The following is an 18,031-nucleotide window of genomic DNA, read 5'->3' as shown; positions in this document are numbered from 1 at the left end:
AATATTATTTTTCTTCATCTGAATGTTGGTTATGGTGGTTATGGCGGTGATGGTGGTATTCATCTTGTAGAAGTTCATCCAGTTTTGCACTTATTTTTCTGTAAATAGAGTGCATTAATAAAAATGCATGTTTAAGAATATCTTCTTAAAAACCATGTCCTCTTTAACTGAGGTAAAACACTTTGTCTAGAAATAGTAATATTTCTTTATACATTCTAGGATATAGAGTGTACTGTTGGATCTGACAGATCACAGTAAAAGTGCCAAGCCTGGTTTTTACTCTCTGTGTGTTCTTTCCTCTGTTTCTGTTTTTTCACTGTTAAATAAAAATTATAATGCCAACTTAACAAAGTAATTGAGAAAATAGAATTGAATAAATAATAGAAAATCACTTAGCACAAAAATAAACCAGGTAATGGTGGCCATCACTATTAATAGCAACAACAGAACCACTGAAGTAGAAGAGGATAAAGGCAAATTAGAGGCTTTTCTGAAGTGGCTGAGCTGTGGTGGTAGCAGTGATATCAAACTTTGTGAGGAAGAAGGAAGGCAGGAAATACGAATAAAATCTACACCACTGTATACAGGAAAAAGCAATGACATGGCACAGAAATGCTGTGAAACAGTCCTCAATGGACTGGTCTTATGTGAGGGGAGGTTTCAACACAAGAGCATCCTCGGGAAGAACCTGCAACACCAGCCTCAGGGCATGTCTTCATCTTCCCTTTTGTGTGTTCATTTTCCACTAGACTATAGGCCCCAAGAAGAAGAATATTTCTGTCTAACAGATGTATGTACTCTAAGCATCTAGAGCTTTGCCTAGGACACAGCAGTGAAGATTAAAGACACCCATTGTTCTTGGTGAGTTTATCATATTTATATTCTGCTGTTCCAGAATGGCCTAGACTGCCTGATAGCCATCTATTATTGGGTATCAATCATGAATTCTTGAGTATATTAAATTCTGGTTTCATATAATTTTAAATAAATGAGGCAATGCTTCTATATTTGCGATACATCTTGATGTGGGGAACTTTGCTTTTATGATAATTATATTTAAGTCCTCATATTTCCACCTATTAATTTGGGCTATTTAGTTTCTATGAGCCATACGTTTCTCACATGTAAACTGGAGAGAAAAATACTGACATCAGAGAGCTGGTGAGGATTAATGGCATATTATGTATAAAACAGTACCTGACAGGTAGTTGGATAAAGGGTGTTTAAATAGCCCTTTAGCTTAATAGTTAACAAGACAGAATTTCCCATTAATTTGCAGGGAGAAGACCCTTCCTCAGAAGACAGTGTAACATTTTATGCATCTGAGGCCTTGGGAATAAAGGTCAAGCAGAACTAATCAGTGGAATTCTCCTTTTCTTAGGAGATAAGGAGGAGTGGCTGTGATTGTTAAGAAGATTATAATACCTTTGTACCTGAAAGGAGGAGAATGGGGAAAACAAACATATTCTAATCACATTGGAACAAATTTTAATTAAGGTTTTTAGAGGATCAAAGAACTGAAAAGTTTGAAATACTTTTTATATGTATTCAAAATACAGGCAATGGGAAATGGTAAAGAAAAAAAGTGTTAAGAAAGCACAAGAAATTTTATTTTTTTCTCATGATGACTACTTCAGTGCATAAAAATATAAGCCAAGTAGCTAGGCATCATATGTTTTCAAAATGTGTGTGTATGTGTGTGTGTGTGTGTGCACGTGCATGCACACCTGCTTTGCAACTTTGTGTGCCCCTCTCATGACTCAGTTGTGTAACTTCAGAAAAAGGTCTAAAAATGATTAATGCAATATAAGAAACAGATCTCACTGAATGAAAAGGGCATGGGCTCTTCAGAAACAGATGTTTGTTTTCAAGGCCAGGGTGGCCTGGAGACTTCACCTGTGTGGGGGCATTCTTCAGAAAGATCCCTGGAAATTGCCCAATTTTATTGCCTTAATGAAACAGAGCATCAGCAACCGCAATGTAACCGCTGAATGGACTCACTTTGCTTGCTTCCTAGACGAGAGCCGATTTATCAAGACAAAAGAATTGCAATAGAGAAAGAGTCATTCACGCGGAGCTGGCTCTACAGGAGACCGAAGTATCATTATTACTCAAATCAGTCTTCCCAAGCATTTGGGGATCGAGTTTTTAAAGACAGTTTGGTGGGTGGGGAGGAGCAGTGAGTTGAGGAGTGCTGATTGGTTGGGTTGGAGATGAAATCATAGGGCGTCACTGTCTTCTTGCTCTGAGTCAGTTCCAGCCTGGAACTGACTCCTGAGATCAGAAGAGCCAGTTTATAGATCTGGGTGGAGCCAGCTGATCCACCAAGTTCAAGGTCTGCAAAACATCTCAAGCACTGATTTTAGGAGCTGTTTACGGAGGGTCTGAATCTTGTAGCCTCCAGCTGCATGGCTCCTAAACCATAATTTCTAATCTTGTGGCTAATGTTAGTAGTCTAGTTCCTGGGCAAGAAGGAAGTTTGTTTTGGGAAAGGGCTGTTATCATCTTTGTTTTTAACTATAAACTAAGTTCTTCCCAAAGTTAGATTCACTTACTTCTGAGAATGAACAAGGACAACTCGGAGGTTAGAAGTAAGATGGAGTTGGTTAAGTTACATCTCTTTCACTGTCTCAGTCATAATTTTACAAAGGCAGTTTCAGTCTTATTGTATTCTCACTCTCACTCACCTGCACAGCCACAGTGGCATTCTTGCCCTACTCCTCATATGAGAAACTTGTTCCTGTTGTCGGGTTGTGCACTTACAGCTCCCTCTTCGTCAAGTGCTCTTGTGCCATGACTCCTTACATGCACCATGTACCTAATCAAATGTCCCTCAGGGAGACTTTCCTTTACCTGAAAACAGCAGTAACACCCACACCCTCTCTAATGCCATGTTGTCATTCTCTACTTTGCACCATAGTATTTATGACCACCAGGGATGCTATATATGTTATTCATTTATTTATATTGTCCATTCTCACTAAAAACGGACTCTCCATGAAGTCAAAGTCTTCTGTCTGTTTTTCATCTATTTTTTATTGCGTAGAAAAATTCCCAGCATTTGGTAAATGTTGATGAACTTTGATGAATGAGTCAATGAATTTATTATGGAGTGAAATGACAAATTTTACCCAATATTCTTTATAGAGATCTCTTTTGGCTTAAAAATATGGAGAGATAGTCTAATTATAATATATCATAGTTGATTTTTCTAAGGCTTCTATAGGGGACAAAAGAGAAGCAGTTAAACCACAAAGATTCATAATAAATTAAAGAATAAATTGTCTAGTGGCATCATACTAAGCCCTTAAGGAACAAAACATAAATTGAAATATAGACAGACATCAAATCTTTGAATAAATAAGATCTCAGAAAAAAGAAAATGGTTACTCAACAAGGAAAAGAATGATTTCAAATTTCTTTGGAAGATAAATTATCAGATAAATACAGCAGGGGAAAAATAAAGCCTATACAAAAATAGACACAATAAATATTTTATTGTAAATAAAAACATTTACTATATAAAAAGTTGTATGAAACCATAGAAAAAAACAGTTGAGTCAAATTAGATAAATGGACAAAGGTTATAAAGGGTCAATTTTAAACGAGGAAATATAAATTTGCAACATATGGTATAGTATTTAACCTCTCCAGTAATTCAAATAAGTGAAAATTAAAACAACCATGAGATGCCTTTTCCTATCTTTCAAATAATTTAAACTTGTGAAACATCTATGCTGACAAAGAGATAGGAAATAACGCACCCTTGGATACACTATTGGTGAGCATGTTAAAACTGTTGAGAAAGCATGTTAGCAATAAATGTCAAAAGTCTTAAAAAAGAGTTCACATGAAGCTGAAATGACACAGTGGTTCTGCCCTGGAAATTAAATAAATAATCATGAATACAGAGAATGTTGTAATTTGAAGTGATACTCATTCTAGTGCTAAATATAGAAGGAAAATATAGAAAAAAATTATATTGGAAAGGTTAGGAGACTTAGAGGCAGTCCTAAACTATTATACAAACTTTGATAATGATATTTGAACATTATTCATAGCAGTATTATGCAAAATTTTTATTTTAAAAATAAAAAGTATTACAAAATTATACCTACAGAATGATCTCAAATACATTAAAAAATATTTGCAAGCCCATGTGTAGATATGGATATAGGTTTATGTTTGTGCATTTAAATTTATTTTTTGCCAAATTTGTTTATATCTTAAAGTATTACAATATTATACATGCAGTCACTTTTTTTCATTGGCTCATAATAATTATACACATTATGGGGTACATAGCAATGCTTCAATGCATATAACACATAGTGATTGGATCAGGGTAATTAGAATATCATCTCACACATTTATCATGTCTTTGTATCACAAACTTTCAATATCCTTCCTTCAGCTATTTGAAACTATATGATATATGATTGTTAACTGTAGTCATCATGGTACAGATGACTAGAACTAGAACTCATTCCTGGATCTAGCTGTAATTTTGAATCCTTTAACAAATCTCTCCCTGTCCCTCACTTTCTCTCACCTTTCCCAGCCTCCAGTATCCACTGTTCTACTTTGTACTTCTATGAGATCAAATTTGTTTAGCTTCCACATATAAGTGAGAACATGCAATGTTAAATTTATATTACTTTAATAAATTAAGGTAAAATTAAAAATTAAAAACTCCAAACAATAAGTCAGATAGCAACTATTTATTTTTGTTGAAATCATCATTTTTTGCAGTTAATTCACAAAGTAAAGTCACATAGATGTGGTACAACTATTTGCAAAAGAAGTTTAGAGAGGTTTTCAATCATCCAAGGTATTTTTAGTAATTGGGCCAAACAAGTTAGTTAAATTGAATGAAGGGAGCAGTTGATTACACCCATGTAATTATTTCTAATTTTTATTCATAATTTTTCTAATTAAACATGCATCCATAAGCCTAAATTTTTGTGCTCCCTGTCATTGTAACTATTTATTACAGCATTAAATAAAGACACAATAAAAAAGGATGAGTTCATGTCCTTTGTAGGGACATGGATGAAGCTGGAAACCATCATTCTCAGCAAACTATTGCAAGGACAGAAAATCAAACACCGCATGTTCTCACTCATAGGTGGGAATAGAACAATGAGAACACTTGGACACAGAGTGGGGATCATCACACACCAGGGCCTGTCATGCGGTGGGGGAAGGGAGGAGTGATAGCATTAGGAGATACACCTAGTGTAAATGACAAGTTAATGGGTGCAGCACACCAACATGGTGCATGTATACATATGTAACAAACCTGCATGTTGTGCACATGTACTCTAGAACTTAAAGTATAATAATAAATAAATAAATAAATATCAAATAAAATAAAAAAGACACAATGTGTATTTGTTTGTGCCTGGCTCCTTTTACTCTGCATGATGTTTTTGAAATCCATCCATGTTACTACGTACAACTGTAATGTGTTCACATTAATGGCTGTATACTAGTTCATTATATCAATATACCACTAACTATCTATACTCTGAACTTTTGTATTGCTCTTTTTTTTGTTAAAATGCAAAACTGTGTGTGCCAGAACAAGTCTTTGAAATGCATGCACATATTATCATCTTTGATATATATCTAGGAGTGAAATTGCTCTGTCATAGCATGCGCATATTTTTAATGTCAGTAGATAATGTGAATAAGCCTTCTTAATTAGTTGTTCTGCTTTGCACTGCTATCTAGAATAATGATTGTCCTGCCATATTACTATCATTTGGTCTTGTCAGTTTTTGCTGATGTTTGTTTTGTTTTATCTTCCATTCTGGCAACTATATGGTTATAAATTACTGTGGTTTTAAATTGTATTTCCCTGATTAATAAGGAGCATGAGAATCTTTCACATTTTAATCAACCATTTGGATGTCCTGTTCATGCTTTTCCTTACTATTTTTTTATTTCTACAAGATCCATAGTAAAGAATATTCTTTCATTTCTGACTGTAGTAATTTTTCTCTTCAATTTTTTTCCAGTCAGATGGTAAGGGTTTGTCTAAACAATTTATCTTTTCAAATAGCCAGTTTATGATTTCATTGATTTTCTTTTCTTTTTTCTTTTTCTTTTTTTTTTTTTTTTTGAGACAGGGTCTGGCTCTGTCGCCAGGCTGGAGTGCAGTAGCGTGATCTCAGCTCACAGCAACCTCCGCTTTCTGGGTTTAAACAATTCTCCTGCCTCAGTCTCCCAAGTAGCTGAGATTGCAAGCACCTGCCACCACACCCAGCTAATTTTTGTATTTTTAATAGAGAGGGGGCTTCAGCATGTTGGTCAGGATGGTCTCGATCTCCTGGCCTTGTGATCTGCCCACCTCGACCTCCCAAAGTGCTGGGATGGCATGCGTGAGACATGCGCTCAGCCGTGATTTTCTTTATTGTGTTTCTATTTTCTATTTTATTATTTTCTGCCGTAATCATTATTATTTCCTTATTTTTGCTAGCTTTGGGTTTGGTTTGATCTTCTTTTTCCAGTTCCTTAAGCTGGATGGTTTGTTTACCAATTTTAGATCTTTCATCTTTCTTAATATAAGCATTTAACAGCTATAATTTTCATTCTGAGACTGCTTTTGCTTCACTCTATATAATTAAAGTATGCTGCATCCTCATTTTTATTTATCTCAAAGTATTCTCTAATGTTCCTTTTTATTTCTTCCTCTTTAGTTATTTTATTTTATAAATAAAATAGTTGCATTATTTTATTTCCAAATATTGTAAGCGTTCCAAATTTCTTTCTGTTATTGATTTCACATTCAGTTCAATTGTTAGAGAACACACTAGGTAATATTTCTGTTATCTTAAATGTATTGAGGCTTATTTCTGGAGGCAGTGTATGACCTATACCAGAAAATATCCCATGTGTACTTGAGAATAATATACTTTCTGCACTTTTCAGTGTGGAACATTCTATAAATATCAGTTATATATAATTGATATATGTGTTGTTGTTCATTTCTATGTTCTTATTGATATTTTGCCTGGTCTATCCATCATTGAAAGTAGAATGTTGCTTCAGCTATCGTTGTTTTCTATTTCTCTCTTCATTTCTGTCAGTTTTTACTTTATGTATTTTAGTGCTTTGTTATTAGGCACATACATACCTATAATTTTTATATTCCCCTTTTGTATGAATCCTATAATTTTTATACAATGTCTCTTCTTATCTCTAGTAACATTTTTTGTTTTAAAGTCCACTTTGTCTGCTTGTTAGCATAGCTCCTCCAGCTTTCTTGGGGTAGCTATTTGCATAATACATATTTTTCTATTATTAACATAATGAACTTATTTAAGTTAAAGTCTTACATAGCATAATACAGTTGAATCATATTTTTAAATCAAAACTTGCAATCTCTGCTTTTCTGATTGGATTATTTAATCTATTCACTTTTAATTTTCTTATTTTGGGAGTTAGATTTATGTCTTGGACTTTACTTTTAAATTTTTATGTCTCATATGTTATATTTTTTGTTCTTCTATTTCTACTTTACTGCTTTCATTTGCACTAGGAGAATATATTTTAATGTGGCGTTTTAATTCCTTTAATGTGTTTAAAGGTATATTTCTTATGACTTCTTTTCTGGTTGTTATAGAGCTTACCATAGAAGTCCTAGACTCATACTCATCTAACTTAATTCTTGTCTGATATAGATATATTATTCATATAAAGTTATATTTTACTATCCTTCCATTTGTTCCATTATTTTTATACACATTACATCTTTAAATGTTATTAAGCCAAAAACGTATTATTATAATAATTACTTCATAGAAGTTTGTCTTTTAAAGAAGCTGACATTTTTTAAAAAATTTAAATAAGTATGTATTTATAGCTTTTGTAATATTAACTTTCTTACTTATCCATTCAGGTTCCCTTCATTTGTTCCTGTGCTTTTGTGTTATCATTGAGAATCATTTCTTTTGCCCAATACATCTTTGCTACCACCACCTCCCTTATGTTACACATCTATAGATTGTATGTCCAACAATATATTATGTACATGTTATTTTATACAATTGTTTCTTAAGTTTGTTAAGAGAAAATATTCATTTATACTGTCATTTACAGTTGCATAGTGCTTTTTATTTTTGTTTGCAGATTTGAATTGCCATCTGAGGTTACTTAGTTTCTTGAAGACTTCCCTTTATGATTTTTTGTAAGATGTGTCTGTTAGCAACAAATTGTTTTAGTTTTTTCTTAACTAGGAATTCATTTATTTCTCCTTCATTTTCAAAATACAGCTTTGTTGGATATTGTATTTGTGGTTGACAGTTTTTTTTTCTTTGAGCACTCCACTGCCTTTTGGCCTCTGTTGCCTCTTCTAAGAAGTCAGATGTAAATTGTATTGCATCAGTTTATACCTCTAGAAGCAATGTAAATTGCTAATATACATCCTTTGTGTAAAAGCCTGATCCGTGAAAATATCTCATATAATAACTTCTGATAAGATTAAGATGAGTTTACCATAGTAAGATAGAGCACTACCTTGATGAAGTCTAAGTTGCAATTTAGAATGGGAGTGCAAAGTTGAGATATTTATGAAGTATTCAATAAAGTTTAAGATAGGTCTTTTATTGTAAGCATAAAATAGGATTGTCTGCGAAAAACAATGAACACAGCAGAGTGAAGATATTGAGGAAAGCAGTGAAAACTGTTGGGATGTAAACTGCAATTTCATGCTATTTATAGAAGAGTTGAATAGTTTAATATATATGTAAATGTTTGTTTTGTTGTTTTGATTTTTGTTTCGTTTGTTGTTTGGCAGAGAGAGTCTCAGGAACAAACAGCAAAGTTATTTACAACTTTTATCTTCTTCTGATAGTAACTATTTTGATAATGACAATAAGTTATGTGAGTATCAGTTTGGTTAATTATTTTGTACTCTTCTTGAATACAAAGTTATTGTCAGACTTTAACTTGAGTCAAATAATTAGAGATAAAATAATATATTTTGTAGTCTTCATTATTTTGTGTGATCACTAGTGATGTTAAATATATCTTCCAATGATTTTTGCTTTATGTATTTCCTCCTCTGTGTAATTCCTGTCTATGCATTTTACTCATTTTTTTTCTTGTGTTATTTATACTTTTTTATTGGCATGCATGGGCCATTTATACATTCTTGATTTTTTTCTGGTGTATATTATGAATGGCTTTCCTCAGTTTGGAACTTGTCTTTTCATTTCTCTTGATGAATAAGGATTGCCATTTTGCACAACAGTGAAAATACTACATTCTGAATTCTTTTACTACAATCTAAATTCTTTTAGAAGTAGAGTTTAGTTTTTAAATTAATTTTTAAAAGCTTCTGCTGTTTGGTATGTATTGCCAGGTTCATGAAGTGGACTGATATTTCTTCTTTGCTATCACCTGTCTTACTCCTAAGATATTCATAATTACTCTGTATTGAAGTGAGGACTGTCCTTAGCAAAGTTTTGAATACAATGCTTTTCCTTTAAATACAACTGCCTATATCATAATTTACTGAATTTTAGTTCATAATTTTATACAGCCTCAGCAAATGTTCTATGGATAAAATAATTAGTTCTGGTTTTTAGAACCCCTAATTTCATACAAAGAACCATCTATTAAATTTATTGATAAATCTGTTAAAGTTAGTTGTGTCCAGTATATCCTCAAATTAACTAAGAGGCACCTTATTTATGACACTTTTTAATCTTACTCTTAATATTTACCTGATTCTCAAAGAGAATCTTGTTTCATTTTTATTTCATTCTGAAAGGCTCAAAGTAATAAAAGCATAGAAAATTACCAAGTTAGTAATCTCAACTGAAATATATTTAAAACAATCTAACACTTTTTCAAGTACATTATTTCATCAACTTGATCATTTAGATCGTATACTAGCTTAGCTTAGTAATTATAAAGATGAAGGCTGAAAATATCTTCCAAAGTGCTTGGAAAATATGAAGAAATAATTCCCCAATAATCTGAAAAATGCAAATTATTATTAGTATAAAAATGAACAGAACACAACTTTTCTTACAAACAACTTCATGGCATGGTACATCATTGGTTGTCTGAGGCACTTCCCACGTTTTTTTTTTTTTTTTTTTTTTTTTTTTTGAGAGGGAGCCTTGCTCTGTTACCCAGGCTGGAGTGCAGTGGTGCTATCTTGGCTCACTGCAACCTCCATCTACCAGATTCAAGCAACTTTCCTGCCTCAGCCTCCCAAGTAGCTGGGATTATAGGCGCCCGCCACCATGCCCAGCTAATTTTTTTGTATTTTTTAGTAGAGAAAGGATTTTGCCATGTTGGCCATGCTGGTCTTGAACTCCTGACCTCAGGTGATCCAACCACCTCGGCCTCCCAAAGTTCTAGGATTACGGGCATGAGCCAACATGCCTGGCCTCCTCAGCATTTTTATATCTGAAGTTTATTTATGACTATCATGAAAGTGTCACTACCGAATCCATATGGTAGTAAATAAACTAGACTTGACATAAAATGCTAATAAGATGCAAATGATATAGTGGAAAATGGCCATCATGATACACTTCTGTATCAGTTTGCAGCCCTATTAGGATTATCATCTATCTATGTTGTGGCTTTTTATAGTTAAGAGATCTTGGGATTTTACAGATGTGTTTTTATGACTTTTATATTGCGTACAAAAGTCAAAACCGAGTTTAAATGTGGGGATATATAATTTTCTACTCAGAATACAATTGTCAAATATGTAATGTTTTAAATTATTTAAAAATAAAATAGTTTTTAACTTTACATATTTGACGATTGTATTCTGAGTTAAAATAAAAAGTGAATGCAATTGAGCCTGTTGCAAAACTGCATCATTGTTGCTGTCAAAAAGAATATCAATGAATTTTAATTTATTGGGATTCCGTTTGAAAGACAATGCATTCCCCATAGCATACAGGCCTCCTCATCATTTATGTTCCTCCTCACCCCAAGCAGCTTCTGCAATTGAGCACTGCATGTGCATGCTGTGAAACTACTTGTGCTGAACCACACATATTATTCTTTCTCAGCTTTCCCCCTCCATGAAATATCTCTTAGCTTAGAATATTCTTGTTCCTGATTCATTAATTTCAATTCACTATTCGACAGCTAGTTTAATTAAGGAATCTGAGACAGCCCAATCTCACCTCCATGTAGAAGTAAGTCACATTTTCAGTGGTTTCACAGCTCTCTCTATACTCTACTGACTTCCATCTTAGCATCTACCACATTGTCTTATGAGTCTTTGCATGTTTCTTCTTCCCTCTTTCTCCTTTTTTTCCTTTTTTTTTTTTTTGAGACAGAGTCTCGCTTTGTCGCCAGGCTGGAGTGCAGTGGCATGATCTCGGCTCACTGCAATCTCTGCCTCCCAGGTTCAAGTGATCCTCCTGCCTCAGCCTCCCGAGTAGCTGGGACTACAGACACATGCCACCATACCCAGCTAATTTTTGTATTTTTAGTAGAGATGGGGTTTCACCATGTTGGCCAGAATGGTCTTGATCTTTTGACCTCGTGATCCACCCGTCTCAGCCTCCCAAAGTGCTGGAATTACAGGCATGAGCCGCTGCACTTGGCCATGTTTTTTCGTTCTTATAATACTGTTATGGGATCAGTGGGGTGTCACTTTTCTGGCCTGAAATGTCTGTACCTGGTGGCACATTTGCTCCAGTTTTGCTCGGACCCGCTGTGCTTGTTCTGCCCACTCAGCCTGGCATACTGCACTTGGCTCACACTACTGACCTGGATCCCATGCCTGCCAAGGGCGAGTAAGGTATGGAGCAGTGAGGGGTATGTGAGCAAATGTGGGGTCTGGCTACTGTACAGTCAGACACACTGGCTGGCTGTTGCAGTGGCGTGGACAGCTCCAGATACCAGCATGGGAGCCAGGTCTGTACAAAGCTATGGCTGGATCAGGAGCACTGCAAGCCACTTCCACAGCTGGCACTTGGGAACCCGGAAGCACCTGGAAGTTTGGAGATGCCAGGAACCACAGGGCCACAAAGAGGGAGTCATAGCCCTACCTCAGGGAGCTCCCAGCTCTGGGCTCCCCAAAGGGCCACAGCTCTTCTCTTCTCTTTGCCCACAACGTGGTAAGCAAGGGGCATATTTCAGCACTGTTTGTGTTACAGCATTTTTAGCCCTGCCATTTGATGAATCCTGAGTTCTTGTCCTGTGATCAGGAAGAATAAGATATGCAGACAAGTGGAGGATGAGCAAAATGAAGAAGAGCTTTATTGAGCAATAGAATAACTCAGAGGAAACCCTCAGTGTGTAGCTCTTTTCTGCAGCCAGGGTGTCCAAACAAGTGTTCAGCTCCTAGAAAAGAGGAGACCCTGGAGTGGGAGGCTTCTCTCTGCAGGCAGGTCATCCCACTGTCTCTGCAGCTGTCAGCAGAGAGGAGGCCCTCGATTGGGTAGCTCCCCTCTGCAGCTGGTCATCCTGATGTCTGTTCAGCTTTAGCTGAGCACAAGGCTTTTACGGTCTCAAAAGGGAGGAAGTGCATGTCAGTAGGCCGTGAACAGGCCTGGAAAAGGCACTGCAAGTTCCCACTCTAGTCTGAGGGACTGGCAGCCCGATCTCCAGACTTCAGGCCCTCCCTGACCTAAAGGTGGGACCTCACCAGGGACCTATCCCTTCCACTCAGGAGCCTGTCTGCTTTCTGCCTGCAGTCCATGGCAACCAGGCTGCTTACACCAAGGGGCACCTGTAGGCCAGTGCTGAGCTGCCGTTGAACCCCCTCAGCCTCCTCCAGCCCCCACACTTGTGGGCACCCAAAGTCCAGGGGGAGCTGAGGCAGCAGGGGGCTGGCATTGTCAGCACTGCCTTGAGCGTGTGCACCCCTGACTGGGCTGTGAGAGCACCCAGGCTTGGCCCCAGGTTGCTCTGAGATCGCAGTGGGTGCTGACAGCAAAGAGAAGCTGGAGGTGGAAGCATGCACTTCCAAGCCTGCAAGGGCAGTGAAGGGTGCTTCCTGGGCCCCCAAGAGCACAGAGATGCCCAAGTCCAGAGCCCCAACTTGAATACGTGCAGCTGAGCCCAAGGTGGGTGGGGACCCTGCCTGCTCCCAGTCCCCAAAAGCACATGGAGACCTGGGTCCATAGCCCCAACATGGGTAGCTGCAGCTGCAGCTGCACAGCCCGGGAGGGTGGAGCTGCTGCCTACTCCCAGCTTCTGCTGGCTCAGTGGAGCATGCAGCCAGAGACACTCCCCCTTGGAGCCTGGGGTTGGGGCTCTAGCTCCTTACTGGGCCTGGGCTCACGTCTGGGACAGGGGCTACATCTCCACGAGCTCCCCCTGTTGGGAGAGTCAGGCTCAGAGGTCACCCCAATGCAGGATGGCCTGGAGCAGAGCCTCCTTCCTAAGCAAAGGAATCCTGTGCTCTTGGAGTTGGCACAGTGGCTGCACTGCTGGCCAGGTCCCCAAAACAGGCGCTGCTCCCACTTCCCATCCTGGGTCCCCAAAGTGTGGCCCCAGCTCCACACCCTGGGCCCAGCCCCCATGCTTTGTGTGTAAGTGCAGCACTGCCCCGGGCCCAGCTGTGCCTTGGGGCCCCTTTTTGTGGGACAGCACTGCTCCTCCACCGGTGGGTGACCCAGCCTGGCCCCATCACAGCAGCCCCCACTGTGGCCTGAAAAGCCTGAAATATTTACCATCTGGCCCTTTACAAAAAAAGGACTTACAAATGCCTGGCTTAAAATGCCCATTAAAATTTGCCTGATGTAGAGAACTTTGTGGTTCCTTCCTCAATATTTTTACTACTCACAAATAATTTGTCTAAACTAATCATGGCAGTCTGGTTTCTTGTGAGAGTGATTGGTTTATGTTCCAATACAGACAGGAGATAAATCTTAATGGAATGTTTTGCATATAAGAAATAAATGAAAGAAACAAATGTACTTTTCATCTTTATAATGGTTTTTGCAGCTGAATGGTGCCTGCAACTTCTGTGACCATTTTGCCATGTTGGGACCAAGTGTGAATGCAAAGTTTGCACATAGAGGAGAACTGACCAATCGGAGAATGGAAAACTTCTTGATCATTGATGACAGCAGTCAACCAGTGAAGCCATCAAGCCTGGAGTTTTTCCTACTGCTGGAATTCTTGTCATTGCAGAAAATCAATGTTGTGTTCTGATTTGGGGCATTCTAGCTTGCAAATAGAGGCATCTTAGCTGACACCAAATGCTCCCTAAGGATATTCCAAAGATAAAATTGATGTCTTCATTTTGAAGGGCATTGATAAAGTTTTACATTTGTCTTTATTGTAGTGAAGATTTTTAAATTTAAAAAATAATGTCTGAATTGATTGATTAATTGCTTTATGCAGGCAGCAACACAGGGTGAAATACAAATAGGTGATTGACAAGTGCTGATTATTCAAGAGAAGTAGATAATCCATTTATGGTGATTATGTCTAGTTTTTCTTCGTTTTTTAAGTAGCTATTTTTTGAATGCAGAGTTTGTAATTACTCCAAATGAAGTCAAGACCCAAGACATAACAAAAAGATTAGAGTGTCTGAAGAAAACTGGATGGTTTTGACACATGTGAACTTATATCCTAGTCTGTTTTCATATTCCAAAAGCGAACCAAATTGACATTTTGGCTTTTCAAGGGTTTTTAGATTATAATCATATCTTTTTCCTTAGGTGAGAATTCTTGAGAGTATATGATTAATAGCATATTTTTCTGATTATAAGAAATCATTAATTTTAATAGTAAATGTAATAATAGATTTTGAAAAAAATGTGACATTAAAACACAGAAGTATTCATTATAAAGACATTCTAAATATCTTTATGTAACAAAAACATACCTTGTACACTTGAGGAATATGAAAAGTTAATATAAAATGGCAAATAAGAGATCACTGGTTAGGTCAATGGCTGCCGTAACACCATCTGTGTAGAAATCATATTCAAATGTCCCTCCCTCCACAATTTTCAGATGTATAAAAATTTATCAATTTTTCTTTGGAAACAACCTCAAAACCATCATGCTTTCATTTATTTATTTTTTTCTTTAAGTAATCAATCCCCTGTCTCCAGTATCTACCTCTCAAAATTACCTTTTCTCATTTTAAATATTACTTATTCAAAATGTTCCTGTCTAGTTTTTCAAAATCGTATTTATTTTTCCCCCATATCTTTCAAGCCACAGCAAAAGTTTATTACAGAATATTTATGTGTCTTTTGTGTGATCAGGGTTTTTATTGCCAAGACATGTGTTCCTATAGTATTAAAAGGCATTCCATTCTCAGTGGCAGCCGGCAGAAAATTTTGATGTCTATTCGGCCAGAGAAGCCTATGGAAATGATTTTAAATGTATCATTTTTGGAATTCAGATAGATACAAACCTGTTTGATGCATTTGAAGTTGCTCATTGAAAACCAGAATGTGTCAATGAACATGGAGACCGCTGAAAGAATAGTCATGGTCTGAATAGTGTAACAAAAATATACAAGGCAATATACATTTATAAATGGATGAAGAGATAGATAGGTGAAAAGATAGGTTAGAGAGAGAGATTCATACAACTCTGCTATGATATCTCTAAAATGAAGACAGGACATGTATATTAGCTCGTTCTCACACTGCTATGAAGAAATGCCTGAGACTGGGTAATTTATGAAGGAAAGAGTTTCACATTGCTGGGAGGCCTCAGGAAACTTCCAGTGATGGTGGAAGCCAAAGGAGAAGCAGGCACCTTCTTCACAGGGTGGCAGGACAAAGTGAGTGCAAGCAGGGGAAATGCCAGGCACTTCTAAAACCATCAGCTCTCCTGAAACTCACTCATTATCATGAGAACAGCATGAGGGGAAACTGCCCCCGTGATTCAATTACCTTCACCTGGTCCCACCTTTGATATGTGGAGTTTATGGGGATTACAATTCGAGGTGAGATTTGGGTGGGGACACAGAACCAAACCATATCAACATGTGAAGGAATGATTTTTTTTTTTTTTGCCACCCAGAGGGAGACTGAGATGTGCTTCTGAGATCGCTAAGCAGCAAAGAAGGCAAAACTCCTCCAAGCTCTAGCAGAGAGAGGAGCTATGCCAAGAGTCTCAGCGAAGAACGAGCAGAGGGTGGCAGAAGCAGACTACTCAGTAGGCTCTAACCACCGATTAGAGACAGTGGGACTGAGGCCCACAGGGACTGAGGGAGCAGCACCCAGAGTGGCTGGAGGACAGAGACACAAGTGTCAGTACCGGTGCAGAAATGTGGGGAAACTTCTCCCATTGGAAGGCCTGATTCATGTGCTGCACCAGAGAGTAGGAATGTTATAGGTGATTTGGGGGCCAAACTATCATTAGCCTGCTTTGGGATTTTTTTTGTATCTATAATGTATTTGTGCATTAATCAATACATTTTCAGTTTGCCAAACACAAGCAAAAACTTCAGAATATTCAAGGTAGATAAGTAGTAGCAAAACTTTTGTTAGATATGGGCAGAATGCATGTGATATGTTAAAGTATGAGATAGGTAATGTGGAAATAGGGCATGTGTATTAAACAGAAAGGAGTAGAAGTACTGGGAGATATTTACAAGCTAAATATCCACTATATGTAAGTATGCAGGAGCCACTAAATGTTCAGCATATAGTCAGCAGGCATGGATACTTAATTTTCATGAGGTTTTAAATTCAGCCACATGCTGATGACACCTATTCTGGCCTCAAATATCCTCTGCTCATATTAATTAATTAATTCATTCATCCCATAGCTGTTCTTCAGTCAAGCTTCAGCTTTGTCAAGTTACACATCCCCGAGTCTCTCCAATAGAGCAAGTGTGTAATTGGTCAAGGATACTGCTTATCTGTGGGCCCCTTTGTTTGAACCTAAATTCTGTCCTTGTATTGTGGCACCATCAGCAGAAAGATTGACATGGCAGAGAGTGTTGGGACAGCTGAGCATTGTATGCCACGGGATTCAGGCAGTGAGGACTTCTTACTTGCACCCTATGCTAAGTGTCATCTCTTTTGCCTTGCTTCTCACTCTGTGATTTAAAGCGATTCAATAACTGTGTGATTGAGCATTTTGATTTTGTTTGTGAGCTTCGCTGCTTAGTGCCCACTGGGCTGTCTTTCCTAATAGTGTGCACAGAGGTCCCCATTGCATCAAGACAAATTCCCGTGCAGTAGCATCACCAACCATCTTCTATATGACATATTTGTTTATTTTTGTTCCAAACCCTAGAAAAGTTCATGGAGACTAGAAGGTACTCCAGAAGTAATTGTAGAATCAAAGAATAAAGTTTAAAATTGCTCTTCCTTAGGAGCTACCCTATTATGACACTGAGCATTATTTGCAAAACATGCAGTTCAAACTTTAATAAAAATTTCAAGCACCTATAAGCCAGAAACTCTCATATTCATCCTTCCACTCACCTAAGTGTAAGAAACAATTTGCATGTTATGGAATAAAACTCTGTATTTATAATAGGAGAGGAGAAAAGTAATATAGCACCTACTATATAAGGTTTGTAAGTATGTTACATATAATGAATACACAGTATCAATGAGGGAGATACTATGATTAACTCCCTTTTACAAATAAGAAAACTGAGGCTCAGAAAGGTTGCATAATGTTTCCAAAGTCATGAAAGGTAGAATTTAAATCTCAAAGTCCTGCCTGTCATTTATAATGGAAAATCAGAGAGATTAAAGTAGTCACCTGAGATCATGTGATTTGGAAGTGGCTAGAAGGTAAACACCCTGACACCCATTCAGACTTTTGCCAAAACTCCTCCAATACCAAGCGCTTTCTATAAACTCATTCAGATGGTGTAAATGTTACAAAATGTAATGATATTAATAAAATGTTATAACAAAGTACTATAGTTTTATATAATATATGAAGTAAATATGAAAATAAGTATTATAAATATATTATAAAACAATTATTAATAATTTTTTAGAAATATTTTCTCTAACTGGGTTATTATTCTATAAGAGATCCTCTTGTAAATGGCCTTATATTTTTAATTTTGGTATCCACGTGTTCATAATAGACATCT

General features: G+C 37.0%; 1 long non-coding RNA gene across 1 annotated transcript, besides 1 other annotated feature; it reads left to right on the top strand.

Moving 5' to 3' along the window:
- The first annotated feature begins 2,274 nt into the window (after positions 1–2,274).
- On the top strand, positions 2,275–17,846 carry LOC105373596 (uncharacterized). Its single transcript, XR_923293.3, has 3 exons — positions 2,275–2,335; positions 8,804–8,889; positions 13,942–17,846. It is a non-coding gene; the product is annotated as an uncharacterized LOC105373596 (long non-coding RNA).
- Positions 12,220–12,924: an enhancer, noted in NCBI's record as "H3K27ac-H3K4me1 hESC enhancer chr2:123746771-123747475 (GRCh37/hg19 assembly coordinates)". NCBI's record gives its function as "activates a minimal SCP1, AML or CMV promoter by ChIP-STARR-seq in naive H9 embryonic stem cells {active_cell/tissue: H9 hESC(naive)}" and the evidence as "EXISTENCE:reporter gene assay evidence [ECO:0000049][PMID:30033119]".
- Positions 17,847–18,031: the final 185 nt, after the last annotated feature.

This window comes from Homo sapiens, chromosome 2 (assembly GCF_000001405.40).
Source record: "Homo sapiens chromosome 2, GRCh38.p14 Primary Assembly".
NCBI lineage: Eukaryota > Metazoa > Chordata > Mammalia > Primates > Hominidae > Homo > Homo sapiens.
This window is presented reverse-complemented; position numbering and strand designations above follow the sequence as displayed.